Genomic DNA, 19413 nt, shown 5'->3' on the forward strand with positions numbered 1-19413 from the left:
GGGTGGGGAGTGGCCAACTGTGGCCAGGGCAAGACAGAAACCACATGTGCGTGAACACGTGTTCTACACAGAGCCTTATGTACTGGGCCACAGAATAAGCAGAGCTGGGCAGCTCCTGCTGCCAAAGTCAACATGTTCAGGCTGCCCGGCCTCCACAGGCGCTTTCCTGAAAGCTGCCTGCAGAGAGAAGGGTGGCCAGGGCAGGAGGCAGGATCCTGAAGCTGCCTGCAGAGGGAGGGGCGGCCAGTGCAGGAGGCAGGTTCCTGAAGCTGCCTGCAGAGAGAAGGGTGGCCAGGGCAGAAGGCAGCAGCACAGGGGCTCGGGCCCACGCTGGCTGTCCACACCCAGGGCCACGCCTCCATGACGGTGCCCTCCACCACATCCCCTCTCGTGTGTGCTGGTGCCACCACGGGGGCCCAGGGACCTTTTTGCTCTACTTCTCTTTCAAACTTGCAGCCCTGTGCCAGCAGCCAGCACTGCCTTCAGAATCCCTGCACACAGCGGTGGGAAACCTTGACTGCACCGGAAGAGGAGCAGGCTGCCCTGGCTGGGCCAGACGCTACACATCTTGCTGTCGAGATGGTCTACATTTCTTCCTTTTTTCTTTTTCTTGTAATCCTTCTGTCACCTAGAGCTGGAGTGCAGTGGTGTGATCATAGCTCACTACAACCTCTGCCTCCCGAGCTCAAGAGATCCTCCTACCTCAACCTCCTGAGTAACCATGACGACAGGCACACACAACCACGCCTGGCTAATTTTTGTATTTTTTGGAGAGATGGGGTCTTGCCACGTTGCCCAGGCTGGTCTCGAACTCCTGACCTCAGGCAATCCTCCCACCTCAGCCTCCCAGAGTGCTGGGATTACGGCCAGTTTACATTCGGAACCCACCACTATCCCCTTGTTGACAGTAAGCACATCCCAAATCATTTTTCCCAATGGACAACACAAATAAATAATTAAGATCCTTATTCTAGAGTGGGGAAAAAAAGAGACTAGAATTCTCAGCAGAACTTGAGGAATCCAATGGCCAGTAACGAAGATGCCTCCCAGAGTCTCCTGGCCATGTTCCATCCCTCCCCTCAGCCAGGTACTGGGGTGAGATGCCTCCCAGAGTCTCCTGGCCGTGCCCCATCCCTCCCCTCAGCCAGGTACTGGGCTGAGATGCCTCCCAGAGTCTCCTGGCCGTGCCCCATCCCTCCCCTCAGCCAGGTACTGGGCTGAGATGTCTCCCAGAGTCTCCTGGCCGTGCCCCATCCCTCCCCTCAGCCAGCTACTGGGCTGAGATGCCTCCCAGAGTCTCCTGGCCGTGCCCCATCCCTCCCCTCAGCCAGGTACTGGGCTGAGATGCCTCCCAGAGTCTCCTGGCCGTGCCCCATCCCTCCCCTCAGCCAGGTACTGGGCTGAGATGCCTCCCAGAGTCTCCTGGCCGTGCCCCATCCCTCCCCTCAGCCAGGTACTGGGCTGAGATGCCTCCCAGAGTCTCCTGGCCGTGCCCCATCCCTCCCCTCAGCCAGGTACTGGGCTGAGATGCCTCCCAGAGTCTCCTGGCCGTGCCCCATCCCTCCCCTCAGCCAGGTACTGGGGTGCTCAGGCCACACCGGACCCTCCATCTCCTTCCTCCTACCTTCCTCTTCTTCTCAACAAAATCTAAGCAAGTTGTAAATGGGCCTTCTGGTGGCAATGATGTATTAAGACACGCAGAGCCCTTACCCCATTTGCTACAGGAACCCAATTACATCTGGGAAGAAACAAGCAGGACAGGAAAAAGGTACATTGGTGTTTTTGCATCCATAAAGTTCACTTCAATTTAAATAGAACTTACTGAGTACTCTTTTGCTAGATCCAGGCAAAATGTTTTTCACCCTCAGATACAAAAACATAGAGGAAAAAATTCCCTTAAGCCAGCTGTAAAAAATGATGGTATTAAAAAAATAAAACACTGGCCCCATGAGAATCACTGTAGTTAACAAAAGAAATACAGTAACCGCAATATTATAACCTACAAACAAAAAGCCATTCTCAGTCCCCCAGCAGGACCTCTCCATGCCTCCCAGGTCAGCAGAGGACAGAGGACAGCAGAGGTCACAGGTCAGCAGAGGTCCCAGCACTCAGAGCCGGATTCCAGCTAAAAGCACACATGAGGGAAAACAGCTGACAGCCAGAGCTCCCAATGGGGAGCTCCAATGTTCCAAACCCTCCCCCAGGCCCTGGGACTCTCTGCCCATCAACCAGAGCCTGGAGGGGGAGGGAGTAGGAGGGGGCGCCGCTCAGCCACAAGTGCCCATTTTCACATGAACAGGTCTAACTTAAATGACACAGCATCTTCTATAAGTTACTGCAGTTTAAAGATGCCTAGCCACAGATAATTCCTCAGAACTCTAAAATAAAAACTGATTCTACTAAACAATGGAGTTATTTATCTTGGCATAATTACTACGCATATTTTTTTGATAATAATGGAAGTATGGTGTTACCTGTTTCTAAATCTTAACAAAAACTTATGTTGAAAATGGAAGTGGACTGGGCGCAGTGGCTCACGCCTGTAATCCCAGCACTTTGGGAGGCTGAGGTGGGCAGATCACGAGGTCAGGAGACCGACACCATCCTAGCTAACACGAGGAAACCCCGTCTCTACTAAAGATACAAAAAATTAGCCGGGCGTGGTGGCGGGCACCTATAGTCCCAGCTACTTGGGAGGCTGAGGCAGGAGAATGGCGTGAACCCGGGAGGCGGAGCTTGCAGTGAGCCGAGGTCGCACCACTGCACTCCAGCCTGGGCGACAGCCAGACTGTCTCAAAAAAAGAAAAAAATAAAGGAAATGGAAGTGAACTCACAGTGGCACCTACAAATCCCTTACAGACCTGCAAACCTAGTCCTGTGGCTGTCAGCAGCCGCCAGGAACCCCTGGAGCATTCTACGGCAGGACACAGAAACAGCCGACAAGCTCCCCAGGGGTGAGGGTGCCAGGGAGACTCTGCACTCCCACAACGCCCTAGGATGCAGAGGGGCCTGCCCAGAAAGAGCCTCTCTCTGCTTTCAAGGCCAGACTGGGGGGAGGCAGGAGGGTGGTACCAAAAACAGCAGCCCTTCCCCTCCCCACCTCCAACCTGGCCACCCAGACAGGGACCCCAGCACAGCAACAGCAAGCGGAGGGGGCTCGGCTCTGGCTGAGCTGACTTCCAGCCCAGCCACCACCACGGGCCTGCACACCCTCCGCCACGGGCCTGCACACCCTCCAGGATGCCACAGGCACAGCTGCTCGGACTGCGCACTCGGGGACACTGAGGCGCACGATCGCACCTGCCTTACAAGTTCAACATTTCAGCAAGACAGAACCTGATTACTTTTCCATCTTAAATGGAGATGTCAATTAAAAATGTAAAACATTAAGTCCAAGCCTCTTTTCATATGAACAACACTGCCTTTGTTATCATTAACAAACCACTTTCAAAACCCCCAATTTTTGGGAAAGGTAATTTGAAAGTCCCATTTCACAGCAAGCACAAATGGAACACCCACATGTTGCAAGGGTCAGCAGTCCGCTGTCACTCACGGCCACACTCACTGGGAACCGCGTGCTGGGGTCATCGGGGGTCACGCAGCCGCACCGCCTGAGAGGACTAACCCTTCTGTTTTGCCAAGAAAGATGTCAGCTTCAACTACTTTTATACTGGAGAAACAATTTACAAACTAAAATTGTTTTAAAGCCTCTATTTTCATGCAGTTTTGTTTCTGTAAAGTGTTATTTAATCTCCAAGGAAGTCTTTACAGTAGATACGACCGTGACCACTGTCCTGGGTAGGAGACTGAGGCTCGGAGAGTGGAAGGGAGGGGCCAGGGCCACAGAGCTAGCACCAGTCAGCCCATCACACAAGGCTGTCGGGGACCCTATGTCACTGCGGCCACACCTGGCCCAACCTCAGGGCAGGACCAGCCTAGAATCCATCCAAGCTGGGCACCTAAGTCACGCCCAGATGGGAGAGAAGAGCACAGCACCGTGTACTGAAGAAGCGACTGTGGATCTCATCTCAACGGCTCACATTCCACCCCAAGGAATCAAAGTGAAACACGGGAATGACACAAATACCAACATGAAAAATATCAGAGCACCTGTAACATTCTTATTCTTCTTTATTTGGGACAGGGTCTCACCCTGCGGCCCAGGCTGGAGTGCAGTGGTGTGATCATAGCTCACTGCAGCCTCAACCTCCTGGGCTCAAGTGATCCTTCCTCCCCGCTCAGCCTCCCCAAGTAGCTGAGACCACAGGCGCATGCATGCCACCATGCCTGGCTCATTTTTTTATTTTTTGTAGAGATGCGGTCTCGTCATGTTACTCAGGCTGGTCTCGCACTCCTGAGCTCAAGTGATCTACCCACCCCTTCCTCCCAAAGTGCTGGGATTACAGGTGGGAGCCACTGCACCTGGCCAGCTATTCTTTTTTTTTTTTTTTTTTTTTGAGATGGAGTCTCCCTCTGTCGCCCAGGCTGGAGCGCAGTGGTGCGATCTCGGTTTACTGCAAGCTCCGCCTCCCAGGTTCACGCCATTCTCCTGCCTCAGCCTCCCGAGTAGCTGGGACTACAGGCGCCTGCCACCATGCCCGGCTAATTTTTTGTATTTTTAGTAGAGACGGGGTTTCACCGTGTTAGCCAGGATGGTCTTGATCTCCTGACCTCATGATCCACCCGCCTCGGCCTCCCAAAGTGCTGGGATTACAGGTGTGAGCCACTGCGCCCGGCAAGCTATTCTTTTTTTAAACCCTGCATTTTAATGCCAGATAAAACAATGGAGAACAGGCATTCAAGACCAGCCTGGCCAACACAGTGAAACCCTATCTCTACTAAAAACACAAAAATCAGCTGGGTGTGGTGGTGGGTACCTGTAATCCCAGCTAGTTGGGAGGCTGAGGCAGGAGAAACTCTTGAATCTGGGAGGTGGAGGTTGCAGTGAGCCGAGATTGCACCACTACACTCCAGGCCCTGCACAACAAAGCTAGACTCTGTCTCAAAAAAAAAAAAAAAAAAAAACAATGGAGAACCAGCCTCAGTGAGGTCCTCAGGAGGCCCTCACATGCCCATGTGGGTCACGGCGCCTCTGGTCACACTGCGCCCAACCTCTGCTCAGCAGGGCCTCTCTGTAGCAACACTGCAGTCTCCCTGATGGGAGGCCACAACAGACCTCATGCTAAGGGCCTTCCTCGTATTCAATCTAACCACCACAGGCAAACAAAAGACAAAATCAATACTGAGGATCTATAGTTCACAAAAGTGACAAATGGCATTAAACACCTTAGATTATTACTGTGGCATGGTCAAAAATGCCAACATTTCCTATGTCATCAAACCTAAGTATCAGTACATCTATTGTTCTCAATCCACTAGAGTGCTAGACATTTAGGCCAATTCCAGGTCCTGTCAGCAGAGTTGCTGATAGCTTGCTCCCCTTTAATCAGAGAAGCCTGTATTTTGAATCCATCGATTTTTTTTTTTCCCCAGAGACAGAGTCTTGCTCTGTCGCCCAGGCTCAAGTGCGGTGTTGTGATCTTGGCTCACTGAAACCTCCGCCTCCCAGTTCAAGCAACGCTCCTGCCTCAGCCTCCCAACTAGCTGGGATCACAGGCATTCGCCACCACGTCCGGTTAATATTTACATTTTTAATAGAGATGGGGTTTCACCATGTTGGCAGGCTGGTCTGGAACTCCTGGCCTCAAGTGATCCACCCACCTTGACATCTCAAAGTGCTGGGATTACAGGCGTGAGCCACTGTGCCTGGCCACTAATTGCTGATTAATAATTTTATTTTTCACACTAGTAAGCAGCATTTTGGCCAGGTGTGGTGGCTCACACCTGTAATCCCAGCACTTTGGGAGGCTGAGGCAGGAGGATTGCTTGAGAGCAGGGGTTCAAGACAGGCCTGGACAACGTAACAAGACTCTGTTTCTACAAAAAAAAAAAAAAAATTAAAAAAAGAAAATGCAGCATTTTGCTTTTCCTTGTCATACATTAAGGTCAGCAGTATCCTTTTCACAAAGAGGCACAGCTCAGACCCTGGGGTGTGGGGTGCTCCCTCATCGCTGCCCCCCTTTTCCCATGTACCTGGCCCCTCCATGGCACCCCTTTTATCACAACCAGGCTCAGTCCACCTCCAGATCTTGAAAAATGTCTCACCTGATCACAAACATGCCCACTACCCAGGCTGGCTTCATTCTAACTACAAACCATCCCACAGATTAAGAGAAGACAATTCTAGACCTATTTTCAAGGATATCTCAGATTCCCTTTCCTTCAAACCTCACCTCTATTTCCAAGGAAAGAATTCAGTCATATGAAAGAAAGCAGTCAGGTGTATTTTAAAGTGGCCTGACTCCAGGCGACTGAGATAAGGAACAGATACACCAAACTATGAAGCTCCCGAAAGAAGCTGCAGGAAAGGTTCTTTCACGTTTGCTGGGAGTAACAACACAAAACAGATTATGTATTTTTGGAATGTTCACTTTAAAACCATGACTCACACCTGGCCAAAATATGAAAATTTAATTTAGCCAAGTTTTCTCTTCAACTGCTGTCAATCCACATATCAGAGAAAATAACCTGCCAGTTCACCATGCGTCTCTGGAAGGAGGGAGGACTCTGCCCTACAGCGACACGTGCTTGCTCAGAGCCAAGGCCAAAGTCTTTTTGGAGACTGCTGCCGCTCCTCTCAAAAAACATGCCAGTGACTCCCAGGAGGAGGCAAGGAGTCAGGGCTGGCGAACCAGGCTCCCACTCCTTACCTGCCAACCATACACACTGGTCTCCAGCTCCTAGGAAAAGCCAGAATAGCCATCTAGAGGGTTCAGCAACAGCACTATGCCCAGAAGCACAGGACAGCCCGGCGAGACCACCAGGAACCTAACAAGAGCACAACAGCTCCCAGGATACAGAATCCTCATCCAAGGACAACCCAGCAAGACCACCAGGATCCTAACGAGCAGAACAGCTCCCAGGATACAGAATCCTCATCCAAGGACAACCAGGCAAGACCACCAGGATCCTAACGAGCAGAACAGCTCCCAGGATACAGAATCCTCACGCAAACTGTTAACACAACATGCTCAGAGCACACAACACACAGCACAGGGTGGGGGTCTCAGTCATCACCAGACCATCTGAGGATGAAGAAAATTAAAGGAGGACAAGAGGAAATAAACTTCTTTTATAGGCTATTAACAACCTATTTAATTTTTCAGCAGATTTCTTCTCACTGTGACACCAAGGATCCCATTCATTAATCCAAAAATGCTTACCTGTTACCACTCTGAATACACTCTAAGTGAAATCCAGAACAAAATTCACAACATTTCGACAAAACTCTATCAAGTCCAAGAAAACCAACCTGGACACTCACGCATTATTTTGATACTTATTTTTACAAATCAATGACAAAAACATAAATTGATAGAGAATGCAGTGAGTATTTACCGATTCCATAGCTGAAAGTCAGTGCTGACGAGGACTGTCTTTTAAATCCAATGGAGGTGTGTCCCAGAGCAGGGCTGTATATATTCTGAAACAAGAGAGTGAGATTAGCTCATGTCAATAATAATTTCAGCCTCAGTTCTTTCATCGCTCTCGTCTCCCTCCATTTGGTCCACACGGTTTATTCCATCGCCCTTCCTCTCCCATGACCCACTGCTCAGCTCCTGGTCACTGTGCCAAGGCCAAAACTTAACTTCATTCATCAAATACCTTTACGTCACAATGCAGCAATTGCAACAACTTAAAGGTAAATCCAAAGTCCAGCACAAAAAAGAGTAGATGACACTGATACAATCTTGTGAAATCACCATAAAACCAGATTTTAGAGGCTCTGGGGCTTTTTATACGTAAGAAACCAAATAACCCAAGTGGGCAATCTCGCCACAGAAACAAAACATTACCAGTAAGCTAAGTTTTTAAAAGGCCTTTTTTTTTTTTTTGGAGACAGAGTTTCACTCTTGTCCCCCAGGCTGGAGTGCAGTGGCGTGATCTCAGCTCACTGCAACCTCCACCTCCCCTCCTGGGTTCAAGCGATTCTCCTACCTCAGCCTCCCGAGTAGATGGGATTACAGGCGCTCGCCACCCACCCCCGGCTGATCTGGACCTCCTGACCTCAGGTGTTCCAATCACCTCGGCCTTCCAAAGTGTTAGGATTACAGGCGTCAGCCACCATGCCCAGCCTTAAAAGGCTAATTTTAACTTTAAGAAGCATATTAAGTTTTAAACTACATAAAAGGTGCAAAAAAAGATAAGGTGGTTTTCATTTCCACTGAGTATTTTAAGAGGAAAAGATTATACTGCAGTACCATTTTTTTAAAAAGCTGAATAAAGCCATGCATGGTGGCTCACGCCTGTAATCCCAGCACTTTGGGAGGCCGAGGTGGGCGGATCACTTGAGGTCATGAGTTCAAGACCAGCCTGGCCAACAGGGCAAAACCCCGTCTCTACTGAAAATACAAAAAATTAACCAGGTGTGGTGGCTTGTACCTGTAACCCCAACTACTTGGGAGGCTGGGGCAGGTGAATCACTTGAATCTGCGAGGCAAAGGTTGCAGTGAGCTGAGACTGCACCACTGCACTCCAGCCTGGGTGACAGAGCGAAACTCGTCTTAAAAAAAAAAAAAAAAGGCAGCTGAATAAAACTATATAATTTCCCTGAAGAGCTCTGGGGACTCCAAGAATAAAACAAACCAGTCTAAATGGGGGAAAAAAAATCTATACCCATGTTACTTCAGTCCCATCCAAACATCAGGCTCTCCTCCAACTCCAAACACTTCCGTGTGCAGAACCAGGGAAGGAAGCACAGACAGGATTGAAGGCAGCTCCCAGGACAGGGCTTGCTGGTGCAGGGTTCCCCGGCTCTGCACTTAGCATCCGAGAGAATCGCGTGTTTCCTGAGCAACACTCCTGGCACATGCGTTTTGCAAAGATGGAGTGAGGTTTTTCCTCCTTACACTCCTGGAAGATGGAGTGAGGTTTTTCCTCCTTACACTCCTGGACAGGATTGTTCAAAGCTGCCATTAACCTCAAGGACCATTAAAAATAAGTGTGTGATGGGTGCGCTGGCTCACGCCTGTAATCCCAGCACTTCAGGAGGCTGAGGCAGGCGGATTGCTTGAGCCCAGAAGTTGGAGACCAGCCTGGGCAACACGGCGAGTCCCCATCTCTACAAAAAATTCAAAAAATTAGCTGGGCATGGTGGCGTGCGCCTGTAGCCGGAGCTACTCACACCACTGCACAGCAGCCTCAATCCATCAATCAATAAAAATAAATGTGAATACGCAGCTTCTAGTCACCACACAGCCTGGTTTCAGTGAAAAGCAGCAAGTGTGCCACGAAGCTTTCCGTAAAAGAGCTCAGAGAGGGGAAGAGCATCAGCAGCAGGAAGCCAGCGAGGAACCCCAGCATCGACCTCCAGAGTCCTGAGAGCACTCAAAGCATCATGAGTCCAACGATTTGCAAGCTCACTGCCACTGGCATTTGGGTTCAGCGCGCCAACAGGGTTGAGCAGCGTCGGTCTTCTAGATGCCAGTAAGGCCACCCAGCAAATCCTGGCAACCAAAAATGTCTCCAGACGATGTCCGCTAAAGGGCAAAACACGCCGGTGAGAACTGCTGCTTTAATGCAGCTGCTGTTTCCCATGTATGAAGAAACTGGGCCCAAATCAGGTGAAAGTGAAAAACATCAGTTAAAAGTGAAACAAAACTCAGTTTTCTGTTGTCTTAGGGTCCCACAGGGTATGGAAAGCAAGTTGGGAAGAGAAAATTCTGGTCTGAAGGTCTTTTCTTTCTGACTGACAGACAATCTCAGTAACTGATCCCATTATCTCTGGAAGACAGTACCAATCCAGAGCCTCTAAAATATTTGGAATAAACATTACAGATTTTTCTTAAGAGACAGGGTCTCACTGTGTTGCCAAGGCTGGGAATGGAGTGGTGCAAACACAGCTCACTGCGGCCTCAACCTCCTGGGCCCAAGGGGTCCTCCCACCTCAGCCTCCCAAGTAAAGACATTTTCTAAGGTGTGAAAAAAAGCTTCATTTAGAATACATGTTCACATCAAAACCACCACCACGACTATAAACAAGCTATGTTGTCAAACAGAAAAGCACCAGGCTACACTTCTTACTGTCAGCTCCTGCCTACAGCAACTCAGGAATCAACAGGCCTGTGGAGGCTGAGTGCAGACAGAGACCATGGAGACATGAAGGGTCAGTGTGTGATGACGGAGTCAGGGAGTCAGGGATGGGACCATCACCCATCCATGTCTGGGGGTGGGGCTGAGACACGAAGGGTCAGTGTGTGATGACGGAGTCAGGGATGGGACCATCACCCGTCCATGTCTGGGGGTGGGGGTGAGACACGAAGGGTCGGTGTGTGATGACGGAGTCAGGGATGGGACCATCACCCGTCCATGTCTGGGGGTGGGGGTGAGACACGAAGGGTCGGTGTGTGATGACGGAGTCAGGGATGGGACCATCACCCGTCCATGTCTGGGGGTGGGGGTGAGACACGAAGGGTCGGTGTGTGATGACGGAGTCAGGGATGGGACCATCACCCGTCCATGTCTGGGGGCGGGGGTGAGACACGAAGGGTCGGTGTGTGATGACGGAGTCAGGGATGGGACCATCACCCGTCCATGTCTGGGGGTGGGGCTGAGACACGAAGGGTCGGTGTGTGGTGACGGAGTCAGGGATGGGACCATCACCCGTCCATGTCTGGGGGCGGGGGTGAGACACGAAGGGTCGGTGTGTGATGACGGAGTCAGGGATGGGACCATCACCCGTCCATGTCTGGGGGCGGGGGTGAGACACGAAGGGTCGGTGTGTGATGACGGAGTCAGGGATGGGACCATCACCCGTCCACGTCTGGGGGTGGGGGTGAGACACGAAGGGTCGGTGTGTGATGACGGAGTCAGGGATGGGACCATCACCCGTCCATGTCTGGGGGTGGGGGTGAGACACGAAGGGTCAGTGTGTGATGACAGGACCACTGCCCATCCATGTCTTGGGGCAGGGGTGGGGGTAACCAAAACCAGAATCCAGTTAAAACAACAGGGAGTTGCTTCTACCTATGGAAATGGCAACAGGACAAGATGATAACCCAGGTGCTAAGGAGTCGGCTACACGCATTCTGTGTTAGGAAACCCAGGAGGTACTAATGGCGGCTCTCTCTGAATGGTGGAGCAATGTGAGGTTTTAAATGCTCTTACCACTCTGGACTCCTTACTCTCATCAACCCCTTTAAGTGGGTTATTTGCCACGTTAGGGATAGGGAAAGAAAATTATTTAATACAATCAACGGGTAAAAAGTTAAAGTTACCTAAGAAGAAAGAGCTCTAGGCCAAACCTATAATCCCAGAACTTTAAGAGGCCGAGGTGGGAGGATCACTTCCGCACAGAAGCTCAAGGCTGCAGTCAGTTAGGGTGGCACCACTGCACTCCACCTGGGCGAGCGACTGAGACCCTAAGAATATCCAAACCATTAAAAGAATTTTTTTACAGAATTTTTCTTTTAAAAAAAGCAATTTTAAAAAAAAGGATCTTGGATGTTATCACCAAAAAGAAGTGGTATTTGAGGGGATGGACACAGTAACCACCCTGGTCTCATCGGTAAACAAGGCATCCACGGACTGAGGCATCCTACCGGACTCCACTAACAGGTGCGACTATGGGTCAGTAATAAACACACTTTTCAATATGTCAAGTAATAACACGATATTCGCGCTGACCCAATCGCACCCCACCTCTTTCAACGCCCTGGGCTCTCCCCTCGCTTTGTTGCATGAGAGCTGCTTTACTCACTGCTCTCGACGAACAGTCACAGCCACGAGCACCGTCCGAAACAGAATCACAGCCTCCCTGGGAAGGAAGCTGGGCAGACCTGATGCTTATTTTTGGAAAGGAACGGAAGTTCAAGATTGCTCATGTTTTTATTACAGTCTCCCTTTTCTCCCCTAAGAGAATCACAAGTTTCAGGAGACTCTGACTGACACAACTGTATTAATGTTTAATTCACTCCCACTTTAATCACTTTTTTCTTTTTTTCTTTCTTTATATCAAAGCACATCAATAATCACTTTTTTCAATCAGGAGATCTACAACTGCTTGCTAACCATAGTCTTCAATCCGCTAAGATGAGCAATTCTTTCTGTCCACACTGACTAACCCCAACTGACAGCAGAGAAAAACCACGAGGCCTGTGGCTGCCCCACACCGCTGCTCCTTCAGACAACCAAGGGCCACGGTGGTTTCACAGCTGTGAGCTCAGGCCCCTCAGCTCCCTCCCGTGAGCCACCTTCCCAACACCCTCAGAGCCCAGGAGTCCATGTTAGCAAAGACAGGTCCCTACACTGGCCTTGGTCTCAAAACGCTGCTAGCCAGAGCTATGACCTTATGCAAACAATGATTTTCATTCGCGTTAGGCTGGGTGGGAGGGTCCACAGGGGAGCCACTGACGATGGGCATCTGCCCCCGACACTGGCTGACTAACCAGCACCATTAACCCTGGGCTCCGAACGGCAGTCACACCAGCCTGTCTCAGGGCCAGGTCTGTCTTTTCCCTGCTTCCCACAGAACGGCCCGCAGTGCATTCCTTTCATGAGTACAGGAGCATACGGATGGGTTTTAAGAGACTAGTGCGGAGCTGTGGCTTTCTTGACAAATACTTTTTCAGTAACTTCAAATACATGCACAGAGAAGGCATGAGATGTGTGGTTAGAGTTAACCTGAAAGCACAAGGTGGTGCCTGCAGCAGCAGGCACTCAGCACCTGACCCAACTCAACTCAAACATGTGAGCCCACCATTACTAGAGGTCAAAAATGGTCCAATAAACTCCACTCAGTTGTTCACAGCTGTTTTATTCATAAGCACCAGAAACTGGAATCAGCCCAGATGTGCTTCGATGGTGTAAGAAAACGTTTTAAATGGTCCGTTTTCCAGGCATGATAAATCTACGCAATGGCAGCCAGCCTGCGGATGTAACAAACCGCACGGCTCGTGCACCTAGAAGGTCACAATAAGCGAACAAAATGTAGAAGAGGGGTCAGCCCATAAATGGGAAGAAAGTTTCAGTATTGGGAAATCAAAACTTAAGCGGGTAAGAGGACAGGGTACAACCTTGTAAGCGGGTAAGGGGACGGCGTACAACGGGATAATGAAACTCAGGCGACCTCCGGGAAGATTGTAACCCCATAGTACTCGACCAGTGAGGAACTGGGGGAGGGACTTGCATTAGAGGAGATAAACTACCTGCTGTGACTGCCCCGGGTGTACCTGCCTACCAGGCACCTGATCTTGCAAGACTGCCATTAAAAATCTTGCTTCCTGGCTGGGCGCAGTGGCTCACACCTATAATCCCAGCACTTTGAGTCAGGCAGATCACCTGAGGTTGGGAGTTCGAGACCAGCGTGGCCAACATGGAGAAACCCCGTCTGTACTAAAAATACAAAATTAGCCAGGCGTGGTGGCGCATGCCTGTAATCCCAGCTACTCGGGAGACTGAAGCAGGAGAATCACTTGAACCCAGGAGACGGAGGTTGCAGCAAGCCAAGATCACACCTCTGCACTCCAGGCTGGGTGACAAGAGCAAAACTCTGTCTCAAAAAAAAAAAAGAGAGAGAAAGAAAAAAGTCTCATTTCTGCTGTTCTGTGTGTCTCCAAGCCCAGTCTTTGGGTGTGGACGGGTGAATGTGTGTTTCTCACCATGGATAAATAAGCTGAGTCCACCCACACCACGGAGACCACTCAGCAACAAAACAGAGCGAACATTACGCTGAGCAAAAAGGCCAATCGAAAAGGTTACATTTCTACGACTCCATTTATATGACACTCTTATGACAAATTTTTCAAATGGAGGACAAATCAGTGGTTCTCAGGGGTTAGGGACCAGGGTGGGGAGATGGGCTGGAAGGGGCAAATGTGGCTAGAAAAGGGCAAAGGGCCGATCCTTGCGATTATGGAACTATTCAGCACCGCAACACGGCAGGGACGGGGGCCCCCAGTGGTGAACACGCACAGAACTCAAATCAATCAATCTCTCTCTCTAACACACACGTACAAGTAAACTTCAGGCAACCTGAGTAAGACCGGTCAGCGATACCGTGTCCACATCCTGGCTGTGACGTTCTATTAAGGCCACAGTTCTCCAATGTGTTACCATTCGAAGAGAGGAGGAGACTGGCCGAAGTGTACAAAGGGCTCTCAAGGATTTCTTACAACAAAACACAAGCTCAAACTATTTAAAAAAAAAAAAAAAGTCCAAAAAAGAAAGAGTCCAATATTGACAATTTCATATGGTTTTATCTAGCACCAACTCACTTTATCCTCACAATAATCCCACAGAGTAGGTATCATTATTATCTCCCCTTTGCACATGAGAAAACTGAGGCCCTAGAAGTGTGAGAAATTTAGTCAAGGTCACATTTTAAATGGTGGGGCCAAGACCTGAAACCAGGCTGGCTGGCTCCAGTGCCCACACTCTTCACCACGATCAGTCTTGAAACTGGAAATGGAAAACATGGACATGAATCTGCTATTATTATGGCTTAAAAATCTTACAATGTAACTTTAGAGGACTTAAAGGGAACACTAAAGACCTACCATCCAGCCTCATCTCATTTTAGTTCTCAATCAAAAAAAGACACAGCCAATTGGATTCCACTCCCACAATGGTGCCAGGAGCCCCACAATCCCAAGGCCAGCTGGTGCAGACAGGTCACCTATCCACTCTGATCAAACCATTCTCCTGACCTCGGTCGGTCTCCTTCGTTTTTTCAGGTTGGGGGCGGACAAGGTGGGCCGGTTATTTCGATTTTTTCGGGCTGGGGGCAGAGAAGGTGCAGTTATTTGTTTCCTGTTTCTGGTGTTTCTTTTTTAAGGGTGGGGTGCTATTCATTTCGTTTTCTCTGATTTAAAGTGAAAGAGAAGGCTCCAGGGAATAAAGGCAACTACGCAAACTTCAGAACTGAGGTGAGCCTGAGGAGGAACTAGAAGGAAAACCAGGCTTCCTTCTTCAGTGCAAATGTTTCTTTTTACTACAGGAAAAAACGAAACAGGAAACAAAATGAATGTTCCCAAACAATTCTCTTTATACCATTTAGCAGAAAAAGGTGCAAAGTGGATGAATGCAGAACGAGAACAAGGGGGAACGATTTCACACAACCGTTCTTCCCTTTCCATAATGCCTGCCCTGATAGGAATCAAACTCCTCTGCTAAAGAACAAAAGCCAACTATGGAAGGCAGGAGAACCTTCAGTCCTCAGAGGAGGCATCCGACTCCTGCCAAAACCTTCCCTTCCTCACCGGATCCAGGGGAATGGCAAAAACAATTCGTGTTTGAAAGTAAACAGATACACAGCTATAACAAAAAAAACAAAGGAAGCTGTAGATCAGAAACTGGGAAATACCTGAAAATTAGAGGAGGACAAAGGCATGAAATCAAACTAGAGAAAGTGACACAAAAGCCAACAGTGAAAACAGCCCCAATAACACACAGGAGAAGGTGGAGGAAGGACAGTGCTGGACTGTGCAATACCTGCCTCCCTCCCGCAGGAGGCCCGGCTCCACAAGACCCCAACCAGCGCCGGCCGAGTTCACAAGCTCCCTGAGCAACAAACACCAACTCCCTGCGTGGCTTCACTAAAACAAGCCTTGAAAGGGAACAAGAGGCTCTGATGGTCACTTAAACATCACACACACACACACACACACACACACACACACACACAAATCTGAAATCCTGACCAATGAAGACATAAGACCAACCTTTCAGAAAGCCTAAATCAGGCGCATATAGATGACCAATTTATTTCTAGCTCTTAGTAAACCCACAGAATTCCAAATCAGCATCACAGTCTAATGGCAAAACTCAAAAGGAAACATGAATATACTGTGATCTACTTGTCTTGAGCTCACTGTTGGCCTCACCATTTTATGATCGGCGTCATGGACACTGGGAAACAGAAAAGACGGAGAAATCCGGGAAGCGGCTGTTTCACTTCAGTGTGAAGCTCCTACTCAACAATCGCTTAGTTATTTGTGACCTCTCACAACACTCATCTGTTCTGTTTCTACAAAATGAATAATCCAAGTGGCAGTAGACATCAGGACACCTGTTACCAGCCTGTCTTTTGCCAAGTAGGAACCTCAGAATGAGATACAACTCCATGAAGAACCATCTCTTGGTATGCAACAAGGTCTTCAGTCAGTCAGTCAATCAATTCAGCAGAGCTGCATGATACAAGATCAATATACAAAAGTCAGCTGTATCATCATCATACACAAGCAATGAACAATCTGAAAAAGATTAAGGAAACATTTCCATTTAAAACAGCATCAAAAAGAATATTTAGCAACAAATTTAACCAAAGAAGTGTAAAACTTGCACCCTGTAACCACAAAACACTGTTGAAAGAAACCGAAGACCTAAATAAGTGGAGGGAAAAAATCCCATATTCATGGATCAAAAGACACAGTGTCTTTACGACAGCAACACCCCCCAGGGTGACCTGATGATTCAGTGCAGTAACTATCAGAATTCCAACGGCCTTTTTTCAAAAGTGATCCAAAAATCTAGATGGAATTGTAAACCTCTTACATACTACAACTTACAGAACTATACAACTTTTTCTTAAAACTTTTTTCAGAGTAGAAAAGACATAATTAAAATGTCTAGGGGCCGGGGTGGTGGCTCACGCCTGTAATCACAGCACTTTAGGAGGCCGAGGCGGGAGGATCACTTGATGTCAGGAGTTTGAGACCAGCCTGGCCAACATGGCGAAACCCCATCTCTACAATAAATACAAAAAAATTAGCTGGGTGTGGTGGCACATGCCTGTAATCCCAGCTACTTGGGAGGCTGAGGCAGGAGAACTGCTTGAACCCAGGAGGCAGAGGTTGCAGTGAGCTGAGATCGTGCCACTACATTCCAGCCTGGGAGACAGAGTATGCCTCAAAAAAAAAAAAGTCTAGTAATCGTATGATGCCAGGTTTTTCTAAAATGATTATTTTTAATTATTAAGGGGGCAAAATAAAACAAGGGCACTGATTTGACAGTTTTTTTAAACTCTTTAGTTTGAAAGGTTTAAAATTCTTCAATAATCTAGTGCCTCTAATCCCAGCACTTTGGGAGGCCAAGGCAGATGGATCACTTGAGGTCAGCAGTTTGAGACCAGCCTGGCCAACATGGTGAAACGCCATCTCTAATAAAAATACAAAAATTAGCCAGACATGGTGGCGCGCGCCTGTAATCCCAGCTACTCGGGAGGCTGAGGTGGGAGAATCACTTGAACCCAGGAGGCAGAGGTTGCAGTGAGCCAAGATCGTGCCACTGCACTACAGCCTAGGCAGCAGAGCAAGACTCCATCTCAAAAAAATAGATTAATTAATTAAAATAAAATTCTTTGGCCGGGCACGGTGGTTCACGCCTATAATCCCAGCACTTTGGGAGGCCAAGGCGGGCAGATCAGAAGGTCAGGAGATCGAGACCATCCTGGCCAACACGGTGAAACCCCGTCTCTACTAAAAATACAAAAAAATTAGCCAAGCGTGGTGGCGGGCGCCTATAGTCCCAGCTGCTGGGGAAGCTGAGGCAGGAAAATGTTGTGAACCTGGGAGGCGGAGCTTGCAGTGAGCCGAGACTGCGCCCTACACTCCAGCCTGGGTGACAGAGCGAGACTACATCTCAAAATGAAAGAATGAATGATGAATGAATGAATAAAATTCTGCAATAACCAACATAACATTATTTCCTTTAAAAATACACCACTGTCATAGGCCAGGCATGGTGGCCCATGCCTGTAATCCCAGCACTTTGGGAGGCCGAAGTGGATGGATCACGAAGTCAGGAGTTCGAGACCAGCCTGGCCAACATAGTGAAACCCCGTCTCCACTAAAAATACAAAAATTAGCCAGGCATGGTGGCAGGCGCCTGTAGTCCCAGCTACTCAGGAGGCTAAGGCAGGAGAATCACTTGAACCCAGGAGGCGGAGCTTGCAGTAAGCCAAGATCGTGCCAATGCATTATAGCCTGGGCAACAGAGCAAGACTCCACCTCAAAAAATAAAAATAAAAAAATAAGAATACACCACTGTCCCTGAATGTGCACTGTTCTTTTAATTTAGAATGTGAGCCCACAATGATTTGTACAGCCCAACATCTAAGATGCAATGAACAGAATGTAAATGGGGGTTGGGGGGAGGGAAGGGACTACACAGCTTCTGAGAGAACAGCAACGTCCCTGCAGCGTGGGATTCTCAACTCTCACGCTCAGACGTTCTAGTACACAGCAGGGACTCTCAACTCTCGCGCTCAGACGTTCTAGTACACAGCAGGGATTCTCAACTCTCACGCTCAGACGTTCTAGTACACAGCAGGGACTCTCAACTCTCACGCTCAGACGTTCTAGTACACAGCAGGGACTCTCAACTCTCACGCTCAGACGTTCTAGTACACAGCAGGTACTCTCAACTCTCGCGCTCAGACGTTCTAGTACACAGCAGGGACTCTCAACTCTCGCGCTCAGACGTTCTAGTACACAGCAGGGACTCTCAACTCTCGCGCTCAGACGTTCTAGTACACAGCAGGGACTCTCAACTCTCGCGCTCAGACGTTCTAGTACACAGCAGGGACTCTCAACTCTCGCGCTCAGTCGTTCTAGTACACAGCAGGGACTCTCAACTCTCAGGCTCAGACGTTCTAGTACACAGCAGGGACTCTCAACTCTCGCGCTCAGTCGTTCTAGTACACAGCAGGGACTCTCAACTCTCAGGCTCAGTCGTTCTAGTACACAGCAGGGACTCTCAACTCTCGCGCTCAGTCGTTCTAGTACACAGCAGGGACTCTCAACTCTCACGCTCAGTCGTTCTAGTACACAGCAGGGACTCTCAACTCTCACGCTCAGTCGTTCTAGTACACAGCAGGGACTCTCAACTCTCACGCTCAGTCGTTCTAGTACACAGCAGGTACTCTCAACTCTCGCGCTCAGACGTTCTAGTACACAGCAGGGACTCTCAACTCTCACGCTCAGACGTTCTAGTACACAGCAGGTACTCTCAACTCTCGCGCTCAGACGTTCTAGTACACAGCAGGGACTCTCAACTCTCGCGCTCAGACGTTCTAGTACACAGCAGGGATTCTCAACTCTCACGCTCAGTCGTTCTAGTACACAGCAGGGATTCTCAACTCTCACGCTCAGTCGTTCTAGTACACAGCAGGGACTCTCAACTCTCACGCTCAGACGTTCTAGTACACAGCAGGGACTCTCAACTCTCACGCTCAGACGTTCTAGTACACAGCAGGGACTCTCAACTCTCGCGCTCAGTCGTTCTAGTACATAGCAGGGACTCTCAACTCTCAGGCTCAGACGTTCTAGTACACAGCAGGGACTCTCAACTCTCGCG

The 19413-nt window shown here is 49.2% G+C and overlaps 2 protein-coding genes across 6 annotated transcripts in view, besides 6 other annotated features; both read right to left on the reverse strand.

Annotated features, from left to right (window-relative positions):
- LOC128462377 (uncharacterized) overlaps positions 1–7467 on the reverse strand; it is a 101247-nt gene extending 93780 nt beyond the window's left edge. For both annotated transcript variants that reach the window (NM_001416403.1, NM_001417603.1), the window contains exon 1: positions 7459–7467. In NM_001416403.1, coding sequence (NP_001403332.1) covers positions 7459–7467 — 9 coding nt within the window. The remainder of the gene's footprint in view (positions 1–7458) is intronic.
- Positions 1–19413, reverse strand: part of ANKRD11 (ankyrin repeat domain containing 11) — a 222932-nt gene that overhangs the window by 143196 nt on the left and 60323 nt on the right. For all 4 annotated transcript variants that reach the window (NR_045839.2, NM_001256183.2, NM_013275.6 and 1 more), the window contains one exon: positions 7459–7543. The gene's annotated coding sequence lies outside the window, so the exon portion shown is untranslated. The remainder of the gene's footprint in view (positions 1–7458; positions 7544–19413) is intronic.
- Positions 265–534: an enhancer, noted in NCBI's record as "active region_11410". NCBI's record gives its function as "activates an Ori minimal core promoter by ATAC-STARR-seq in GM12878 lymphoblastoid cells {active_cell/tissue: GM12878}" and the evidence as "EXISTENCE:reporter gene assay evidence [ECO:0000049][PMID:35858748]".
- Positions 8748–9249: an enhancer, noted in NCBI's record as "H3K4me1 hESC enhancer chr16:89485981-89486482 (GRCh37/hg19 assembly coordinates)". NCBI's record gives its function as "activates a minimal SCP1, AML or CMV promoter by ChIP-STARR-seq in primed H9 embryonic stem cells {active_cell/tissue: H9 hESC(primed)}" and the evidence as "EXISTENCE:reporter gene assay evidence [ECO:0000049][PMID:30033119]".
- Positions 9250–9749: an enhancer, noted in NCBI's record as "H3K4me1 hESC enhancer chr16:89486483-89486982 (GRCh37/hg19 assembly coordinates)". NCBI's record gives its function as "activates a minimal SCP1, AML or CMV promoter by ChIP-STARR-seq in naive H9 embryonic stem cells {active_cell/tissue: H9 hESC(naive)}" and the evidence as "EXISTENCE:reporter gene assay evidence [ECO:0000049][PMID:30033119]".
- Positions 12406–12906: an enhancer, noted in NCBI's record as "H3K4me1 hESC enhancer chr16:89489639-89490139 (GRCh37/hg19 assembly coordinates)". NCBI's record gives its function as "activates a minimal SCP1, AML or CMV promoter by ChIP-STARR-seq in naive and primed H9 embryonic stem cells {active_cell/tissue: H9 hESC(naive and primed)}" and the evidence as "EXISTENCE:reporter gene assay evidence [ECO:0000049][PMID:30033119]".
- Positions 12493–12592: an enhancer, noted in NCBI's record as "active region_11411". NCBI's record gives its function as "activates an Ori minimal core promoter by ATAC-STARR-seq in GM12878 lymphoblastoid cells {active_cell/tissue: GM12878}" and the evidence as "EXISTENCE:reporter gene assay evidence [ECO:0000049][PMID:35858748]".
- Positions 14024–14133: a silencer, noted in NCBI's record as "silent region_7901". NCBI's record gives its function as "represses an Ori minimal core promoter by ATAC-STARR-seq in GM12878 lymphoblastoid cells {active_cell/tissue: GM12878}" and the evidence as "EXISTENCE:reporter gene assay evidence [ECO:0000049][PMID:35858748]".

This window comes from Homo sapiens, chromosome 16 (assembly GCF_000001405.40).
Source record: "Homo sapiens chromosome 16, GRCh38.p14 Primary Assembly".
Classification (NCBI taxonomy): Eukaryota; Metazoa; Chordata; class Mammalia; order Primates; family Hominidae; genus Homo; species Homo sapiens.